This window comes from Homo sapiens, chromosome 5 (genome assembly GCF_000001405.40).
Source record: "Homo sapiens chromosome 5, GRCh38.p14 Primary Assembly".
NCBI lineage: Eukaryota > Metazoa > Chordata > Mammalia > Primates > Hominidae > Homo > Homo sapiens.
Window position 1 is genome coordinate 40,718,129 of NC_000005.10, and position 22,045 is coordinate 40,740,173.

At 39.1% G+C, this 22,045-nt stretch overlaps 2 protein-coding genes across 3 annotated transcripts in view; one reads left to right on the top strand and one right to left on the bottom strand.

Moving 5' to 3' along the window:
- The window catches only part of PTGER4 (prostaglandin E receptor 4), a 66,886-nt gene that overhangs the window by 38,214 nt on the left and 6,627 nt on the right, over window positions 1–22,045 (top strand). The gene's annotated exons all lie outside the window — the stretch shown is intronic.
- TTC33 (tetratricopeptide repeat domain 33) overlaps window positions 1–22,045 on the bottom strand; it is a 44,386-nt gene that overhangs the window by 6,553 nt on the left and 15,788 nt on the right. For both annotated transcript variants that reach the window (NM_012382.3, XM_011514003.4), the window contains exons 3-4: window positions 12,134–12,215; window positions 10,217–10,348 (exon numbers count right to left, since the gene is read on the bottom strand). In NM_012382.3, coding sequence (NP_036514.1) covers window positions 10,217–10,348; window positions 12,134–12,215 — 214 coding nt within the window. The remainder of the gene's footprint in view (window positions 1–10,216; window positions 10,349–12,133; window positions 12,216–22,045) is intronic.

Consider the following 22,045-nt stretch of genomic DNA (forward strand, 5'->3'; position numbering starts at 1 on the left):
AAGAAGACAGATACATGATGGCTCACGCCTGTAAATCCAACTCTTTGGGAGGCCGAGGCGAAAGCATGGATCACTCAAGACCAGGAGTTCAATGACAAAACCCCGTCTCTACTAAAGATACAAAAAAAATTAGTTGGACATAGTGGTGGTGCCTGTAATCCCAGCTACTTAGGAGGCTGAGGCAGGAAAATTGTTTGAACCCCGGAGGCAGAGGTTACAGTGAGCCAAGATGGTGCCACTGCACTCCAGCCTGGATGAGAGAGCAAGACTCTGTCTCAAAAAAAATAAATAAATAAAAAATACACAGAGATAGGTATATAAAGCAGTATTTGGCCAGGCGTGGTGGCTCACGCCTGTAATCCCATCACTCTGGCAGGCGGAGGTGGGCAGATCACAAGGTCAGGAGTTCAAGACCAGCCTGGCCAAAATGGTGAAACCCTGTCTCTACTAAAAATACAAAAATTAGCTGGGCATGGTGGCACCCTCCACGTGGTGGCTACTCAGGGGGCTGAGGCATGAGAATCGCTTGAACCCAGGAGGCAGAGGTTGCAGTGAGCCGAGATTGCACCACCGCACTTCAGCCTGGGCGACAGAGCAAGATTCCGTCTCGAAAAAAAAAAAAATTAGCTGGGTGTAGTGGTGTATGCCTGTAATCCCAGCTAATTTGGAGGCTGAGGCAGGAGAATCACTTGAACCCAAGAAGCAGAGGTTGCAGTGAGCCAAGATGGTACCACTGCACTCCAGCCTGAGCAACAGAGCGAGACTGTCTCAAAATAAATAAATAAATAAAAATTAAAAATTAAGGTACCATGGGAATTGTGCTTTATGTGTTCTTAATATTCTAATAAAAATCCACCTATATAGAAGTGTTAAAAAATAAATACCTCTTCATGGCATAAAGCTAATGCCTTAGGAAACATTAAAAGGTATTTTATTCATATTTACTAAAATTTTAAAACAGCAATAAAGCTCACCCATTTAAAACATACAATTCAATATTCACAGTCACACAGCCATCACCCATAATCAATTCTAGAACATTTTTATCACCCCCAAAGAAAATTCCATACCTACTGGCAGTTACTCCTCATTTCTCCCCAAAACCCCAGCTCTAGGCAAGCATTAATTTACTTGCTATTGCTATATATCTGTCTATTCTGTATATTTCATATAAATGAAATCATACAGCCTTTTATGTCTGGTTTCTTTCACTTAACATATTGTTTTTAAAGTTCATCCGTGTTGTAACAGGCATCATTTCTTTTTAATGCTGAATAATATTTCATTGTATGGATATACCACATTTTGTTTATCTATTTGTCAGTTGATGGCATTTGAGTTGTTTCCACTTCTTGGCCATTTTAAATGCTGCTGCTATGAAGGTTTATGTAAATGTTTTTGTGTGGACATATGTCTTCATTTCTCTTGGGTATAAAGAGTGGAACTGTTTTGTCATATGATAACTATATGTTTCATTTTTTTGAGGAGCTGCCAGACTGTTTTCCAAAATGGCTATAACATTTTACATTCCCACCAGCAATGGACGAGGACTCCAATTTCTCCACACCCTCACCAACACTTCATATTGTCCATCTTTTTTATGATAGTGAATGTGAAGTAGTATCTCAATGTGGTTTTGATTTTCATTTCCTTGACAAGTAACAATGTTGAGCATCTTTCATGTGCTCATTAGCTGTGTGTGTATCTTCTTTGGAAAAATACCTTTTCAAATCCTTTGTCTATTTTTAAATTACATTATTTGTCTTTTTGTTATTGAGTTGTAAGAGTTTTTTACAGAGTCTACATACTAGACCTTTATCAGATATATGATTTACAAATATTTTCTTCCATTCTGTGAATTGCCTTTTCACTTTCTTGACAGTAACTTTTGAAGCACAAAAGTGTTTAATTTGAAGTCCAATTTTTATCTACTTTTTTCTTTTGTTGTTTGTGCTTCCAATGTCATATCTAAAAAATATTAATATATTGCTGAGTCCAAGGTTACAAAGATTTACACCTATGTTCTCTCCTAAGAGTTTTATAATACTTTTAGTTCTTATGTTTAGGTCTTTGTTTGTTTTTGAGTTAATTTTTACATAAAATGTGAAGTAAGAGTCCAAAGTCATTCATTTGCATGTGGATATCCAACTGCCTCAGCACCATTTGCTGAAGACTATTCCTTCCCCCATTAAATTGTCTTGACACCCTTGTCCAATTAACTGTAAAAATGTAGGTTTATTTCTGTACTTTCAGTTCTATCCCACTGATCTATATGTCTACATTATGCCTATCTAAGTACTATACTGTCTTGATTACTAATGCTTTCATATTTACTAAACTTAAATATACATATGTATTTAAAGTAAATCCAAAGAGCTGCAATTACATTTTCAAATTTAAGATAGTTTAAAATCTCCCAAGGGCACTCCTCTTCAAAGAACTTCACAAAACAAAATGGCAGAGGAGTAGCATCAGCAAGATGGCAGAGTGGGAAGCCCTGGACCCTCCTTCATCCAACAAATACACCAATTCAGCAACAATTCACAAACAAAATTCCTTTGTGAGAAATCCAGAAACTAACTGAAAGGCTCCTGCACCCTGGATGAATAAGAATACACACTCATCAAAGCCAGAAGGGAGATTCAGGACACCCTCTCACCAGAATCCTACTCCCAGCACAGCTCCACAGGATTGGGAAGAACCCTGCAGCTCCAAGCTACCCTCAAGGGAAAGAATGAATTGGTCTGAGTGTCCAATGCCCCAACTTCTACGGTGGCTACAAAAAGTACTGGTTTCTGTCTTGCCTGTTTTTTGGACCACTGTTAAAACAAGTCCTACATAATCTAACCACCTACAGGAGACCAGAGATAACGGAGGTTTGGAAGAGTAGTCACCCTATCTGTTCCCCCAGCTTGGCATACAGTGAGCGAAGAAAATTCCCAGCTCCCAGATTTTGCCTAGGGAAGAAAAGAATTGGTCCACACTGTGTCCAATGCCCCAGTTTTTATGGGGACTACCAAAAGGACTGGCTTCTGTCTTACCTGTAGTGGAGTACTGATGGAATTTGGCAAAATCCAGCTGCCTGGGGGCTAGGAAGAACAGAGAGGGATATTTGGGCTGGAAGTTGCTATCACCCCTTCCCTGAGCTGGGCACAAAGTAAATGGACAAAATCAATTTTAGAAGTAAGAACAAAACTAGGGGCATCATACTCATGAATTTCAAAATATATTACAAAGTGACAGCAAACAAAACAATACGATTCTGGCATAAAGTCAGATATATAGACCAATGGAACAGAATAGACAGCCTACAAATAAATCCACACCCAACATGGTCAGCTGATCTTCAACAAGGGCATTAAGTATACATAATGAGAAAAGTCTAGTTTCTTCAACAAATGATGCTGGGAAAACCGGATATCCGCGTGCAAAAGAATGAAAATGGATCCTCATCTTACACCATAAACAAAAGTCAACTCCAAGTGCATTAAAGACTTAAATGTAAGACCTGAAGCTTACATTGTAGGAGTCTTATGACTCCTACAAAAAAAACAAAAACAAAACAAAACAAAACAAAAAAACAGGGAAAACCTTCATGACATTGGTCTTAAAAATGATTTCCTGAATATAACACCAAAAACATAGGCAACAAAATCAAAAATAGGCAAGTGAGATTACATCAAATTAAAAGGCTTCTGCACAACAAAGGAAACAACCACCAGAGTAAAAGGAAACCTATGGAATGGGAGAAAATATTTGCAAATCATATCTAAGGTTTTAACTTTCAAATATATAAGAAATAACTCAATAGCCAAAAAACCTAGTAACCTGATCTTAAAATGGGCTAAACACTTGAATAGACATTTCTCTAAATGGCTAACAGGTATATGAAAAGATGCTCAATATCACTAATCAGGGAAATGCAAATCAAAACCACCATGAAATATCACCTCATGAGTCCCAGCTACTCGGGAGGTGAGGCAGGAGAACCGCTTAAACCCGGGAGGCGGAGGTTGCAGTGAGCCGAGATCGCACCATGTCACTCCAGCCTGGGTGACAGAGGGAGACTCTGTCTCAACTCGCTCACTCAGTGCTCAATGTTGCCCAGGCGTGATCTCGGCTCGCTGCAACCTCCACCTCCCAGCCGCCTGCCTTGGCCTCCCAAAGTGCCGAGATTGCATCCTCTGCCCGGCCGCCACCCCGTCTAGGAAGTGAGGAGCGTCTCTGCCTGGCCGCCCATCGTCTGGGATGTGAGGAGCCCCTCTGCCCGGCCGCCCAGTCTGGGAAGTGAGGAGCGCCTCTTCCCGGCCGTCATCCAGTCTAGGAAGTGAGGAGCCTCTCTGCCTGGCGGCCCATCGTCTGGGATGTGGGGAGCGCCTCTGCCCCACCTCCCCGTCTGGAATGTGAGGAGCGCCTCTGCCTGGCCGCGACCCCGTCTGGGAACTGAGGAGCGTCTCTGACCGGCCGCCCCGTCTGAGAAGTGAGGAGCCCCTCCGCCCAGCAGCTGCCCCGTCTGGGAAGTGAGGCGTGTCTCCGCCCCACAGCCGCCCAGTCTGGGAAGTGAGGAGCGTCTCCGCCCGGCCAGCGCCCCGTCCGGGAGGTGGCGGGGCAGCCCCTGCCCGGCCAGACGCCCCGTCCCGGAGGTGGCGGGGCAGCCCCCGCCCAGCCAGCCGCCCATCCGGGAGGTGGGGGGCGCAGCCCCCACCCGGCCAGCTGCCCCGTCCGGGAGGTGGGGGGCGCCTCCGCCCGGCTGCCCCATCTGGGAAGTGAGGAGCCCCTCTGCCCAGCCGCCACCCCATCTGGGAGGTGTACCCAACAGCTCATTGAGAGCGGGCCATGATGACGATGGCGGTTTTGTCAAATAGAAAAGGGGGAAATGTGGGGAAAAGGAGAGATCGGATTGTTACTGTGTCTGGGTAGAAAGAAGTAGACATGGGAGACTCCATTTTGTTCTGTACTAAGAAAAATTCTTCTGCCTTGGGATGCTGTTAATCTATAACCTTACCCCCAACCCCGTGCTCTCTGAAACATGTGCTGTGTCCACTCAGGGTTAAATGGATTAAGGGCGGTGCAAGATGTGCTTTGTTAAACAGATGCTTGAAGGCAGCATGCTCCTTAAGAGTCATCACCACTCCCTAATCTCAAGTACCCAGGGACACAAACACTGTGGAAGGCCGCAGGGTCCTCTGCCTAGGAAAACCAGAGAACTTTGTTCACATGTTTATCTGCTGACCTTCCCTCCACTATTGTCCTATGACCCTGCCAAATCCCCTTCTCCGAGAAACACCCAAGAATGATCAATAAATACTAAAAAAATTTAAAAAAATTTCAATTAAAAACCTCAAAGCATAGGTTTAACAATTAAATAAAAGCTAACTCAAATTAAAAAAAAAAAAAAAAGAAATATCACCTCACATCTGTTAAAATGGGTATTATCACACACACAAAAAAGGTGGCCAGATGCGGTGACTCACACCTATAATCCCAGCACTGTGGGAGGCCATGGTGGGCGGATCACCTGAGACCAGGAGTTCAAGACCAGCCTGGCCAACATGGCAAAACCCTGTCTCTACTAAAAATACAAAAATTAGCCAGGCGTGGTGATGGGCACCTGTAATCCCAGCTACTTGGGAGGCTGAGGCAGGAGAATCACTCGAACCCGGGAGGCAGAGGTTACAGTGAGCCGAGATCACACCACTGCACTCCAGCCTGGGCGACAGAGCAAGATTCCCTCTCAAAAAAAAACAAACAAACAAAAAGGCAAGATGTGTCAGTGAGGTTATGGAGAAACTGGAACCCTTGTATATTGTTAGTAAAAATGCAAAATGGTGTAGCCATTATGGAGTTTCTTCAAAAAATTAAAATTAGAACTACCATGTAATAAAGCTATCTCATTTCTGGATATTTATCCAAAAGAATCAAGATCTCAAAGAGATATTAGCACTCCCAGGTTCATGGCAGCACTATTCACGATAGCCAATATGTAGAAACAACCTAAATGTCCATCAAAGGAAGAATGAACAAAGCAAATGGTATACACACAAAATGAAATATTTTTCAGCTTCAAAAAAGAAGCAAATTCTACAATACACAACATGGATGGGACTTTGAGGACATTATGCTAAGTGAAAGAAGCCAGTCACAGAAAGCAAATTCTGCATAATTCCACTTATACGATATCTCTAAAACAGGCAAATTCATAGACTCAAAAAGTAAAATTGTGAGGCAAGGCACAGTGGCTCACGCCTGTAATCCCGGAACATTGGGAGGCTGAGGCAGGAGGATCATGAGGTCAGGAGTTCAAGACCAGCCTGGCCAACACGGTGAAACCCTGTCTCTACTAAAATTACAAAAATTAGCCAGACATGGTGGCACACGCCTATAGTCCCAGCTACTTGGGAGGCTGAGGAACGAGAATGGCTTGAACCCGGGAGGTGGAGGTTGAAGTGAGCCGAGATCACACCAGTGCACTCCAGCCTGGGGAACAGAGCGAGACTCCATCTCAAAAAAACAAAAAACAAACAAACAAAAAAAAACAGAACAATAATAAAGCTCATAAACAAACTTTATTTTTCAAGAAAAAAACTCAATTCTTAAGTGTCAACATACAACATTTATAAAGACTATAATTCAAGAATTTGTACTATTCAATTATAAAAAAGATAATGCAGCTTGACTCAAACAATGTCTACAGTAATTAACTAAACTAAAAATTTACAAGTGGATTTTTTTTTTTTTTTTTGAGATGGAGTCTCACTCTGTCACTCATGCTGGAGTGCAGTGGTGCGATCTCAGCTCACTGCAACCTCCACCTGCCAGGTTCAAGATATTCTCCTGCCTCCTGAGTAGCTGGAACTACAGGCACACACCACCATGCCTGGCTAATTTTTGTATTTTTAGTAGAGACGACGTTTCACCATGTTGGCCAGGCTGGTCTCAAAACTCCTGACCTCAGGTGATCAACCCACCTCAGCCTCCCAACATGCTGGGATTACAGGCATGAGCCACCATGCCCAGCCAAATTTTTTTTTTTTTTTTTTGTAAATATAGGATCTTGCCATGCTACCCAGGTTGGTCCAAACTCCTGGCCTCAAGCAATCCTTCTGCCTCAGCCTCCCAAAGTGCTGAGATTATACGCGTGAGCCAGGATGCCCAGCCCCTCAAGTGAAATTTTAAAAACTCTCAATCATCTTCCTTTTGTCTGGAAATTATCACTTGTCCATCCCATTACTACCATTACAAAAGCGAAACAATAAAAAGAATCAAATGATGCAACTGAAATTTCTAATTAAAGATTTGCTCATGCAAAATATTAAAACCAATGGCTAAAATGAGACTTGGAAAACAGAGAAAACATTAGTAAACAAAATTAGTATTTATTGCACATTGGCATGAAGAAAAGCAAAAGCTGGCAATGAATTACACAGAGCCCGAAGAAGGGAAGCCACAAAGCTAGTTCCAGCACTGAAGGCTGAGAACCCTGGAAAGCCAACAGAAGAATCCTTCCTGATACTGTTACCTCCTGGTATTCATTACCTTTCCCAGTCTCCTTCCCTCTCTACCTTCTTCTTCAGGATAAATCCCTTATGTATTCCTTTCTCACCATCCCCATTCCCTCATACAGAATTTTTAACTCCCAGAACCATTCTCTTCAGCTTTTTTTTTTTTTTTTTTTTGAGACAGGTCTTGCTCTGTCACCCAGGCTGGAGTGCAGTGGCGCGATCTCAGCTCACTGCAAGCTCCGCCTCCCAGGTTCACGCCATTCTCCTGCCTCAGCCTCCCGAGCAGCTGGGACTACAGGCGCCCGCCACCACGTCCAGCTAATTTTTTGTATTTTTAGTAGAGACGGGGTTTCACCGTGTTAGCCAGGATGGTCTCAATCTCCTGACCTTGTGATCCGCCCGCCTCGGCCTCCCAAAGTGCTGGGATTACAGACTTGAGCCACCGCGCCTGGCTTCAGCTTTCTTATTCTCTCATCCTTCCACTTCTTAAAATCTCATTCTCATAAAGTCTTTTATATATATATATATATACACACACACACACGTATATATATATAAAATGTATACCATATACATACATATTTTATATATATATATCTCCTATAAACATTTTCCAATGTTCACATCCAACTCTTACAAAGTTTAAATAATTATTCATGGAGATATACCCAACTACTGACTTTTAATTTACTGCCTGTGCTATTTACATACATAATTTCCTATGGTTTTAGTCCATATGTATATATAGTAAGAATTGTTAGATATTAGAAATTCTAGCTTGCTTTCAATATATTTTACATAGTGTCCCTTCGTTATGACATTTTGAGTCATCTTTTTTTTTTACCATTCTAGTCTTTTAAGAGAACAGCTTAAATCTACATAAAAACAGAGAAGATTCCTAAAAATTACATTTAAATGGCAAAAAAAAAATACTTTCAATTCTTCTAAGAATTTCACAGTATTAATGAATAGAGCCATATCAACAGAAAAAAAAAAAGTCGAACTGGTACTCTTATTCAAAAAAATTTAAATATTAAATTATTTTTATTGGATGATTCAAAGTATCTCCGTCTCACCTGCAGTGTATTTTCTTTCTTTATAAAGGACAATCTTTACTAAATATTATGTCCTAGAGATTTGTTCCATTACCATAGACACTATTGGCAAAAGAGATAGTGATGTATAAATTTTTAATAAGGGAGGCAAGGAAAAAGTATTATATGATAGGGTTTTCTTCCCCTGTTAATGTTAGAAAACTAAATTCTTTGAACTCTTTTTTCCAACTCTGGTATGATTTAAGTCTTCATGTAAAAAGAGAGAAGTTGACAGTGCTAAATGGCAAGAAAAAAACAGTACTTGGTTAAAATGGTTTCTATCACTGTGAATCTCATTTAGATTATCATTAACTTACTTTAATCAAATCAATTATTTTCTCATACAAATTCCTTACTATTTCTGAGAATTTGACAAACACCTTTTTTGGTAAGTAGAAATAATGATACATTTATAAGAATGCCAGAAAAAAAGCTCAGTCATCCACAATTTACTAAAACCACTGTTAGTAAGTTTATATTTTGAATTTATCAGTAATTTTAGTCTTGCAAGAAACTTTTAAAATGTTTTATTTTGAACTGTAAAAAATAAAACCATTTTTAAAATCTTAATTTACTTAATAACAAGGAGGAAATTTGGCACTGTATATTAGATTTGCAAACACTTGTTAGGAAGTTAAATTTCGTTAGCTATCAGGTGTATATAGCCCTGCCAAAAGAAAAACAACAGGACAGCTGTCACAGCTAATTCTTACCTAGATAGCCTCTGCTACTAACAAGGTATAGTCCAGACAAATTGAGAGATGCATTAGGTACCAGTTTACGGTAAACATTACACAATGAGTATTTCATTTGCACACATTTCTACTCTTCCTCTTTATCCCCTCAATAAGCCTAACAACTTTTCAGTCTAAATGTTCATCACCATTACCCTCCCATATTCTACTGTCTTCCTTCCCCTGTATAATCTATCAGCGGTTTTGTCTCCACAGTGATACTAATACCACTTTATAATGTGGTAAATGTAATGATCCAAAGAACTAAGCCAAAAAGTTGCCTATTGTCTATTTAAATAAGGTTTACCAAATGCCAATGTTTTATGTTAAATTTTTTTTAATATCCATGATGTCAAGTAACTGAAAAATATTCTGATCATGATATAATTAGTGTCTATAATAAAAAAGATGTTCAGTAATACCTGTGAACTGTGTTTATGGATTAATACCTTTAAGAAGTAATTTGCTAATTGTTTTTTGTATAGACTTGATAAACGGCTATTCACTTTTGGGTTCAGTTAATCAAAAATATGTCAAAATAGACTGGGCATGTTGGCTCACGCCTGTAATCCCAGCACTTTGGGAGGCCGAGGCTGGAGAATCATTTGAGGTCAAAAGTTAAAGACCAGCCTGACTAACATGGTGACACCCCGTCTCTACTAAAAATACAAAAACATTAGCCAGGCATGGTGGCGCATGCCTATAGTCCCAGCTACACAGGAGGCTGAGACAGGAGAATCGCTTGAACCCAGGAGGCGGAGGTTGCCGTGAGCTGAGATTGCACCACTGCACTGTACCCTGGGTGACATCAAGACTCCATCTCAAAAAAAAAAAAAAGTCAAAATATACTTAAAATTTCTGCATTATAATAATCTGACTTCCTCACCAGGATTATCTCTCCTAAACCAAGTTGAGCACGTCCCAAAGTCTGCCAAGACTCCCATGAATGTGGATTTTGCTGGACGGCCATTTCTGCTGCATGTACTGCTGGGAACATTTCATGAAGAGACATTAGCACCTATAGGCAAAAAAAGACCAAAAAATCTGTCAGTAATATTCATAAACTAGCAACTACATAAAAAACCCTTTTCATTTTTTAAGATATATTTTTAGTCCAGTAAAAATAGCATTTCGGTGATTTTTACCCCTTACTCTGCCATTCAGGGTAAGAAATTATAGTTCTCTTTTCACCCCTTATATAACTATGAAAATGTAAACGATTCCCTTTCCAGTTATTGAATCTTATGTCCATCTGGTCAAAACCAAGTGGTCATATCCTAACTATGGTGGCTCAGAGGTATTTTGAACTCCCAATTCCACTTCCATTTATTCTATTTACAATGTGGTTTTCAGGGAACCCCAGGTATTGCCATTAAACTAGGTGAATTAATTTGTTCAACCAGCCATCCCGTCCCTAATGAACATCTTTATGTTATAAAAAGTATTTAAAACATTCCCTAGGCCTTCTCACTACTGGGCATTTCAAACCATACATACTAGGAAGGTAGGGTTAGGGTTAGGGTTAGGGTTAGGGAGAGTTAGGGTTACCAGAGAGTTCTAGTACCCTCCACTGTGGTCTGTGGGAAGAGGCTGGATTTTATCTATAATCTTTAGGACCATTAACACTTTAAAAGATTTGTGATACAAACATTATTATCAGGTTCCAAATTAAACAAGTCTTCATAAAGCTTGCCACAAACCTGTCATTCATATATACATATTTAAGATTGAAAAAGGAATACAAATGAAGGTCCTCATATCACTTGATTCAGATGACATAATTTATTTGGGTTTTTCCTGGATAAACTAAAGTCAAAGGTGACAAATGTGTGTCCTATATTTGAGATCACGATTTGAAAAATATTTGTTAGGTGTGCAGATTAAGGCTGAATTGCAACAATTCCCTGCCAAAAATATGTTTAATGCTCTGTGTGAGACTTTTAAAATCACTTGGATAACCTATTCAAGTGCTCAAAGGTTTTCTTTACAGACTTTCCTACAAAATATTAGAAACATGTTTTTAAAGTACAAATGTTATTTTTAAGCTATTAATAAAATTGCATCTATGCTGACCTTTTGCTAAGGACTAAGCCATTTTTAGAAATATCTCATCTAGAACCCAATCCATCCTCATTTTTAAGAAAACTGAACTATTTTGCTAAGTCTACTATATTTAATCACAAGGAAAGCGTATGTTTTTCATCTAAGAGCTCAACAGTGACTTTTTATTTATTTTTTATTTACTTATTTATTTTTTTGAGATGGAGTCTCGCTGTGTCACCCAGGCTGGAGTGCAGTGGCACTATCTCAGCTCACTGCAACCTCCGCCTCCCACGTTCAAGTGGTCCTCCTGCCTCAGCCTCTCAAGTAGCTGGGACTACAGGCATGTGCCACCACGCCCAGCTAATATTTGTATTTTTAGTAGAGGCAAGGTTTCACCATGTTGGTCAGGGTGGTCTCGAACTTCTGACCTCAAGTGATCCACCCACCTCGGCCTCCCAAATTGCTGGGATTACAGACGTGAGCCATGGCACCTGCCCACCAGTGACTTTAAAAGATAGCCACCGATTCCTATCTTACAATAGTTAGGCTAAAATAACAGTTAACTTCATTGTAAAGGCAAATGAATTTCCAGTTTTATGCATAAGACAGAACCATAAATAATGGTGAAATATTTTTTCCCAAAGAAACCGTATTTGTAAAAGAAAATGGGAGAAAATGCTATTTTGCTTCATCATTGCTCACTCACCGAACAAACATAGCACAATTTCATAAGGAAAGTGAAATTCTTCATAATTATTACCTGTGATTTCATCTCGTATAGGGTAGCATCATTTGGAGTTAACTGTAGTGCTTCATCCCACTTCTGAATTGCCTCCCGATATCTGTGGTTGTTAAAGTTATATCAATGCCATATTTTCAATATGCTTTTTTGGACTTTCAAAAAAAAATTTTTATTGTAGTAAAATATAAAATTTACCATCTTAACCATTTAAGTGTACAGTTCAGAGGCATTAAGTAGCATTAAGTACATATAGTTCATTCACCTTTGTGTGCAACCACCACCACCATTCATCTCCAGAACTTTTTCATCTTCCCAAACTGAAACTCCATACCCATTAAACAATAACTCCTCATTGCCCCCTCCTCCACCCCCGGGCAAACACCATTCTACTCTTAGACTGCTTTCAGGAGGAGCAGTCATGTACTTTCAGTTCAACAGTTTTTTGGACTACTTTCTAGTCCATGAAATATATGTAAAAATCCAAAATAAAGGATTAGCAAATTAAGTCCAGCAACTTACTAAAGTACAAAATCCACATGATCATGTAGTGTATGCTCAGAAAAACTTAGAAATGGGTTCATATGTAACAGATAAGGGAGAAAAAAGTACATGCCACTAAACAATACTTAGTATAATTTAACACCCATTTCTGATTATTTATAATAATAATAAAAGTATATACAACATTAAATAAATTTAGTACTGTGGTGCCATCATCTACTAAGCTTTAATGATATAACCTCTAAAAGCAGTAACTATATCACCTAAAAAGAAAGTACTTGCACTTCTTTAGGCATATTGTGGGTGATTTCAAGCCTCTCTAAACAATATTTCCAAATGTTATTGTAGATGTGACAGGAAAAACTTTGGAAATTAATTTATTGATGTATTCCTTCATAACAATCCTTCCACTCACAATTTTCTAACAAAGGTAGCAGTAATAAATTCTGCAAGACTTAATAGTAGCAAATGTCTTTCCTCCAGCATTAGAAGGAAAAGGTTGGACTGTTTGTCCAATCTTTTTTCTACCACTCCCTACACATACCTGTGCTCCACTCAGCAGGGTTTTTATAGTCCCTACCCACATATCATGCCTTTGTTAGTATGGATCCCCTGCTACACATACACACACACACATCTGTATTAGTTCACTCTCACGCTGCAATAAAGAACTGCCCAAGACTAGGAAATTTATAAAGGAAAGAGGTTTAATTGACTCAGTACCACAGGGCTGGGGAGGCCTCAGGAAACTTACAAGGATGGCAGAAGGGGAAGCAAACACATCCTTCTTCACATGGAGGCACGAGAGAGAAATGAGCGCTGAGCAAACAGGGAAGCCCCTTATAAATCCATAAGATCTCGTGAGAACTCAGTGTCATGAGACCAGCATGGCAGAAACTGCCGCCATAATTCAATTATCTCCACCTGGTCCCATCCTTGACACGGGGATTATTACAATTCAAGGTGAGATTTGGGTGGGGACACAGAGCCAAACCATATCACATATCTAAGATTGCCTTCCTACTCCTCTTCATCTATTCAAAGGCTCCTCCTCTAAGACCAAGTTAAAATGCTCCGTTCTTCATGAAGACCTCCTCCAGTGGCTCTAGCCCACTAACTATGAGTACCACTTCAGACCACATAGCAACACTTATATTTCCAAAGCATTTTATGTTTTACAAAGCACTTTCAATACAATTATTTAACATACAATTATTTTCCCAAAAAGTTAATTCACTTACTACTCAAAGTAAGTGAATATAAATTTGGTGTTATTTGCTTTTTTAAAAATTATTTTGAGAGACAGAGTCTTGCTCCGTTGCACTGGCATGATCACAGCTCATTGCAGCCTTGAACTCTTGGGCTCAAGGGCCTCCCACCTCAGCCTACTGAGTAGCTAGGACTACAGGCATATGCCACTATGGCCAGCTAATTTTTTTATTTTTTTATTTTTGTAGAGACAGGGTCTCACTATGTTGCTCAGGCTGGTCTCAAACTTCTGGCCTCAAGCAATCCTCCTGCCTTGGCCTCCACAAGTGCTGAGATTACAGGGGTGAGCCACCATGCCTAGCCTCAAGTTTGGCATTACTTGTTCTCACTTTATTGATGAGGAACCAATGGTTGAGAGCAGCTAAAGGACTGTCCAAGTCCTGCAAAAGACAGGATTTAAAGCTAGCTCTTAAAAATACAAGACCAATACTTTCTGTAACTATATCAAGTATGCCTCCCATTTAGTTCTGCTCTAATTCCTCCTTGTATTTTTGTCTTCTCTTCTCTAATGAGTTCAGGAACCAAAGGGTAGATTTGTTTATATGCTCTACAGTACCCAGAACATTTCTGGGAATGTAGAAGGTACTAATATAACAGATTTTTTTTTAGACAGTCTTGCTCTGTCACCCAGGCTGGAGTACATGGAGTACAGTGGCATGATCTCAGCTCACTGCAACCTCCACCTCCCAGGTTCAAGCGATTCTCCTGCCTCAGCCCCCCGAGTGGCTGGGACTACAGGCACATGCCACCACACCTGGCTAATTTTTGTTTTTTCGTAGAGATGGGGTTTCACCATGTTGGCCAGGCTGGTCTTGAACTCTTGACCTCAACTGATCTGCCCGCCTCGGCCTCCCAAAGTGCTGGGATTATAGGCATGAGCCACCGCGCCCGGCCTAATATAACAGATTCTATCTACCTCATTTGTCCTACCTTCTCCAAGTCCTGAAGGCAGCAGAGAGCAGCATATAAAGCAAGAAAAGAGGGGACAGATGTAGCATGCTCTTAACACACAGGAAAAAAAAATGGTAATAAAAACAAATTCTATCCTAAGACAAAAGTGGTAAAAATGTAAATTCTTACTTTGTTCCGTTCATTATTTCATATATAGAAATTATAAGAAATCCCAAGACTAGGGGAATGTGAATATAGGTAGAAAAAAACAAAAACATGAGAATTCTACGTTTAGCAGAGGGACCTTAAGAACCTGGATGTTTGAGGTTTCAGGAGTCTTTGACAGCTTTTGAGGAAGGGGCTGAAGGTCTTTGGTCTCTAGAGCAAGGGGTGGCATAGTAAAGGTCCATATAGTAAACATTTTAGGTTTTGTGAACCATACAGTCTATCACAACTATTCAACTCTATTACTGTATCCCAAAATAAGCCATAAACAATGCATTCAAAAAATGGGCATTGCTGTGTCCCAGTAAAACTTTATTTATAAAAACAGGTTGTTTTTATAAATAAAGTTTGCCAACCCTAGATCTACTTGGCCCAACCACTGTTAAAAGCTTATCATATTTGTCAAATTTACTTTTTACTTCCAGTCCTATTTTCTGCCCAACTCAACCAGAGGAAGTTATCACCCCATAGAAGGCATTTGTGGTCATCACTGTGACTTGGAGGAACTAGTGGCAGAGGGTCAGGGATGTTAACATTCTTCAAGGCAAAGAGCAAGCCTGCACAATAAAGAGCTGTCTTGCTGAAAATACCACTAGCACTACTGCTGAGAACAGGATGGCTTATCCCGTCCCCAACCCCACAAAGCTGCTTATGTTCCTAAGCTTAAGTTGTCCCAAGTACGAAATAAACTAAGAGGTTCAAGGTGACAATGACCATCACTAGTTTTTTCTTTTTATTAGGCAGGTATGCATGTGTGCATATACATACAAACAGACATACACACACACACGTGTAAACACAGGCTTACAGATTTGAGAAAAAAGAAAAATGTCCTCTCTTCTCAACTGCACTGTCTTTTATTTTGAAAGCATAACCATTGCTGCCAGCAGAGGCATCCCTCAATGAAATGTGCTTTGTTGCCAACGAGGCCTATAAAGGTTTAAAGGAACAAGTGAGCTGTTTTCCATGCTAAACAAAGCAAGAAATGGTGGGTATTTACTTCACTATCATCAACTTATTCAATTCTTCCCCCTTCTCATTTCTCTTTGGTTTACTTCTGTTGGCCTGCAAACAAAGGGTGGCACCACTTAGTTCCTCCATTTTTAGATCACAGGAAACTTGGCACTGAACAAATCAATAGTCTCTCATAATTTCTGCAGCATATCTCTTAATTCAACTTCAGTTTGGAACAGACTGAACAGACACAGCCCTACTGCAGCTGTTGGATAGGAAGCATTAAAAGATAAAAACTTGGTTTAAAGTCACTGTGGTTAATAAATGACCAAAGTCTGATTCCGCCAGTTTAAGGACAATCTTAACAGTATGCAACTGAAGTAGCACAAGGAAGGAAGCAAAGGGAATAGTTCCATGGACTACAACAGGGCAGGATGAGATAATGCCCTATACTGAGGTAAAGAACAGCTGGTGATCAAGCTAAATAAGTTAGATAGCACACTCATTTACCAAATAGAAATGTCAATGTGTTTAGCTACTTTACTCCCAATTAGACTTCTAATTTACTGTGGCTTTAAATTTAATGAGCTATATAGTTAACAGCTTATTCACTTTATAAATATTTACTGGGCACCTACCCTGGGACAGGTAGAATTCTAGTAATAAGTACTAAGGATGCAGCACCCAACAAGATATAAAAGGTCCCTACTATTCTTCCAGATCTTACTTTCTAAAGTGTATGCATGTTAGAAGGGGACAGGGAAAGAAAGATAACAAACAGTTAAAATATAAGTGCCGTGATAAAAGACAAATGGAGGAATGTGATAGGGAGTGACCAAGTGGCTATTCGGAATGGGCGGTCAAGAAAGGTCTTCCTAGGAACGCATTCAAGCTGAGACCTGAGTGACAAAACGTGGTCAGACAACTGAAAATCTGGAGAAGGTCCATTCCAGGCAAAGGGAAGAACCTGGGGCAGGACCAAACCATGTTTTGTGGAAAGGAAATAAAACCAGAGGAAAGGAAGTCAGAGGTCAGGGAGGTGGGCCGAAGCCATGATCACAGAGAATACAATAAGCCATAGTTATGCATGTGGATTTAATTGTATGTGTGATGAAGAATCCACAGAGTTTTTATACAACAGTGAGACATGAATTATTGATTTACATTTTTAAAAGATCAGTCAGACCCAGAAGAATAGACAGTAAGGGTACAAAAATGTACACAGGAAGGCTAGATATGAGACAACCAAAGTAATTTAGGTATGAGATAACCCTAGATAAGGATAGAAGTGAAAACAGAAAGAGGAAAAAAGATTTACAACACACTGAAAATGTACAGTTGGCTCAACTTGGACTTGGTATGAGTGAAAAAAAGAAAGAAATCCAGGATAATTTGGGTTACCTGGAAAACAGAGCCTGAGGCCAAAGCTTACTGGCTAAATCTTTATTGAGTGGATAGGATCCCACGCAATCAAGAGTGAGGGAAAAACAGAAGTAAGCCATGAAGAAAGAAGAATAAATACAAGGTCTATGTTAAGCTGGCAACAGCTCCACAAACACAGATGATTGTTGATCTGGAGAGCAAAAGGAAAGGAGCAAGCAAAGATTAAAAAGGAGAGGACATGGAGACAAGGACAAGCATGATAGCATGGTGGTGTGGAAGATGAGAGAGCAGTGTATTTAGGAAGACTGTGGTCACCTGTGCTGAATGATGAGAAGCACAATAAATGACAACAGAGAAGTGATGACTGGATTTGACAACATGGAGGTCACTGATAACCTTTACAAAAGCAGTTTCAGTGGATTCATGGGGACAGAAATATGACTGGATGGTTCATCAAGAAATGGAGTTTGTAGTGCAGTGGGAGCAGAGAAATGGCAGAGCATTTGGAGAGAAGCTTTTTAAATGGATGTTATCAGGGTATGTTTGCATGCCAGCAAGAAGGACCGAGAGAAAAGAAGAAACAGATTATATAAAAATGAGAGGACAATTTCAGAACAACGTTCCTGAGAAGGCACAAGGGGATGGGGTCTAGAGTACAAGTGGAGTGGTGGGCCTTTGATAATTACAATGGAATGATGACAGATCATATAGGCACAAATACAGTAAGGTTGGAAGATGTGCTGGTGAGAAAATAAAGTCATTCTACACTGACTGTATCTATGTTTTTCCACAGAGCATGAGGCAAAACCACTGTCATTAAATATACTGATGTGAGTAATCTGCAGAATGTGGGTCACACAGCAAGATCACCCTCAAATTTACATTAGTAGGTATACTTTCCTAGACAAGAACAAAATGCATGGTAAATTCTAATTTATATTCCTGCTTCATACACATACAACTGATTCTAACAGAAAAATCAGACCAGTTAGCTAGACAGTCAAATATCACCATCTAGTGGCTGAAACTTTAAAAGCCAAGATGTCAAAGTTGGGACTAACACCGTGACTCTTGAGAAGGTATAACCTAGTTTGTAATAATTCTAGAAAAAGCCACTTGAACAAAATAATTTACAAAAATATATATTACTACTACAGGAAATATACCAAGAACATATAAAATCCTAAAATATTATATCTAAAGTACATTCACTTGGTGCTTATTAGGTGCTAGGTAGCATGCTTTTACATGGACTTTGCTCTTTAATCCTCCAAAATTCTATAAGATATGTATCACCATTTGACCTATGAGGTAGAAATTGACAAAAAATAACTACCCAAAGTTTATGCAGATAGAAATGATAAAGTTGGGATTTGAATGGAGGTAATCTGACTTCAAAATCTACACTCTTAACCACTATACTCACTATACCATCTCTATTAAGCACCAAAATTTCTTGGGGGTTGGGTAGAAGAGTAAACCAGATTTTTGTTAAAAAGAATCATGAATACTCTAAGGTAAGACTTCTGAATTTAAAAGCCACTCAAGGTTGAGCATGGTGGCTCAGGCCTGTAATCCCAGCACTTTGGGAGGCCAAGGCAGGAAGATCGCCTGAGCCCAGGAGTTCAAGATCAGCCTGGGCAACATGGCAAAACCCCATCTCTACTAAAAATACAAAAAATCAGCCAGGCATGGTGGCGCACACCTGTAGCCCCAGCTCCTCAGGAGGCTGAGGGACAAGAATCACTTGAACCTGGAAAGTGGAGATTGCAATGAGACAAGATCGTGCTACTGCACTCCAGCCGCCTGGGCAACAGAGTGAGGCTCCACCTCAAAAAAAAAAAAAAGACTGGGGACTTCTGCTACTATCCTACAGGTGATGCACAAGAGTTACTAAAGAAGGCTGACAGAGTGATAAAATAACCAAGACCCGAAAATACATAATATCCAGATTCAAAATTTTACTGAAATCTAAATTATCTGTCAATTAACTTGCAATATAACAGCAAATTCAGAACACAAAGACATCATGAACACATATAAAGATATATGAAACGAATATAGAATTATTTTACATTTGACAAGCACTCAAAACTTTGTTTTTTTAATCAAATTTACTGGTGTGTGATTTATATATCAAAAAACGTACCCACTTGAAGCATACTTTCTGATGAGTTTTGAGAAATGTATATACTCATGTAAATACAACCACAACCATCACAATAAAGAACATTTTTGTCAATCCAAAAAGTTTTCTGTGCCCCTTTCTCGGGAAATCTACCCCAACTGCTGACCCCAGACAACTACTGATTTTTTCTGTCACTATGGATTAATTTGTCTTTAGACAGATTTATAAAATTGGAATCAGACGGTATGTACTCTTCCTGACTTCTTTCCCTTAGCATGTTTCTGAGATGTCAATCATTTCTTTTTACTGCTCAAGAGAATACTATTGTATGGATATACCACAATTTATTCATTCATTCACCTGCTGATGAACATTTAGGTTGTCCCAGTTCATGGACACTATTAATAAAGCTGCTAGAGACATTGTTGGAACAGTCTTTGTGTGGATATAATGTTTTCATTTCTTCTGAATTAGTATCTAGGAATAAAACTGTGAGATTGTACAATAAAGTATATATTTAACTTTATGTGAAACAGGCCAGGCACAGTGGCTCATGCCTGTAATCCCAGCACTTTGGGAGGCCAAGGCAGGCAGATAACCTGAGGTCAGGAGTTTGAGATCAGGCTGGCCAAGACGGTGAAACCCTGTCTCTACTAAAAATTCAAAAATTAGCCAGGCATAGAGTGGTGCGCGCCTGTAATCCCAGCTAGTCGGGAGTGCTGAGGCAGGAGAATTGCTTGAACCCGGGAGGTGGAGGTTGCAGTGAGCTGAGATCATGCCACTGCAGTCCAGCCTGGGCAACAGAGCAAGACTCCATCTCAAAAATAAAATAAAATAAAATATAAAATAAAATACAATACAATACAATACAATACAATACAATACAATACAATACAATACAATACAATACAATAAAATACAATAAAATAAAATACAATAAAATACAATAAAATAAAATAAAATAAAATAAAATATAAAATAAAATAAAATAAAATAAAATAAAATAAAATAAAAAAGTGAAACAACCAGACAGTTTGCCAAAGAGGTAAAGCTATTTTACATTTTCATGAGCAATGTATAAAAGTTTAACTTGCTCCATATCTTTGCCAACACTTGATACTGTCAATCTTTTCAATGTTAGCATTCTAGTAACTAGGTAATAGTATCTCATTGTGGTTTTAATTTGAAATTTCTTGATGACTAATAGTGTTGAGCAGCTTTTTTTATGCTTCTTGGTCATTCATATATTTTCTTTTGTGAAGCATCTGCTCCAACTTTTTACCCATTCTTTACATGAATAGCTTGTCTTCTTCCTACTGAGTTGTAAGAGTTCTTCTATACTCTGGAAACAAGTCCTACGTCAGATATATGGACTGGAAATATTTTCTCCCAGCCTGTGGCCTGACTTTTCATGTTCTCAATTAAGCCTTTTAAAAACCAGAAGTTTTCATTTGTATCAACTGACCACATACATGTGGGTCATTTCTGTATCATATATTATTTTCATTGATCCATGTATGTCTATCTTTACACTAGTACTATAAAGGTATAACATTCAAAAACACAGTTAAGGACTTAAATTAAGTAATATAAGTTCCCTAAGTATGTTTTATTTCATAAAATTCTTTTGGCTAGTCTAGATTCTTTGCATTTCCACATAAACTTTAGAATAAGCTTGTCAATTATCTCAAACGCAAGCTTGCTGGGATTTCGATTGGAATTGCACTGAGTTTACAGATCAATTTCGGGAGAACTGATGTATTAACAAAATACTATCTTCCAATCTATGAGCATTGATATGGTTTGGATCTGTATCCCCACCCAAATCTCATGTCAAATTGTAATCCCCAGTGTTAAAGGTGGGGTCTGGTGGGAGGTGATTGGATCATGGGGGCAGGTTTCCCTCTTGGTACTGTTCTCGTGATAGTGAGTTCTTGCAAGATCTGGTTGCATAAAAGTGTGTAGCACTCCCACTCCCCACACTCTCTCTTCCTCCTGCTCCAGCCATGTGAAGTGCTGGCTCCTACCTTTGCCTTCTGCTATGATTATAGCTTTCCTGAGGGCTCCCCAGAAGCTGAGCAGATGCCAACATTATGCTTCCTATGCAGCCCACAGAACCGTGAGCCAATTAAACCTGTTTTTTTCATAAATTATCCAGTCTCAGGTAGTTGTTTATAGCAGTGTGAGGACAAACTAATACAAGTATAGTGTATATTTATTGATTTATTTAGGTCTTTTAACATTTCAGCAGCATTTTGTAGTTTTCATATAGTTTTTATACATGTTTTGCTGAATTTTTTTCCTAACAATTTTAGATTTGGGAATAATACTACAAATGGTGCTTTTTTTTAAAAATAAAGTATTCAGCTTCTAATTGTTTTATTTTACATCCATTATTGGCTTATAAGCCTTTTATTATTTTTTAATGGTTTCTCTAGGGTCTAGGTTTGAATACAACATAACAGCCTAATAGCAATATAATTCCATTTATCCCTTCATGCTATCTATTACAATTGTTATATATTTACTTCTATATAACTTTGCAAAATGTTGCTGTTGTTATTTAATGTCAATTATCT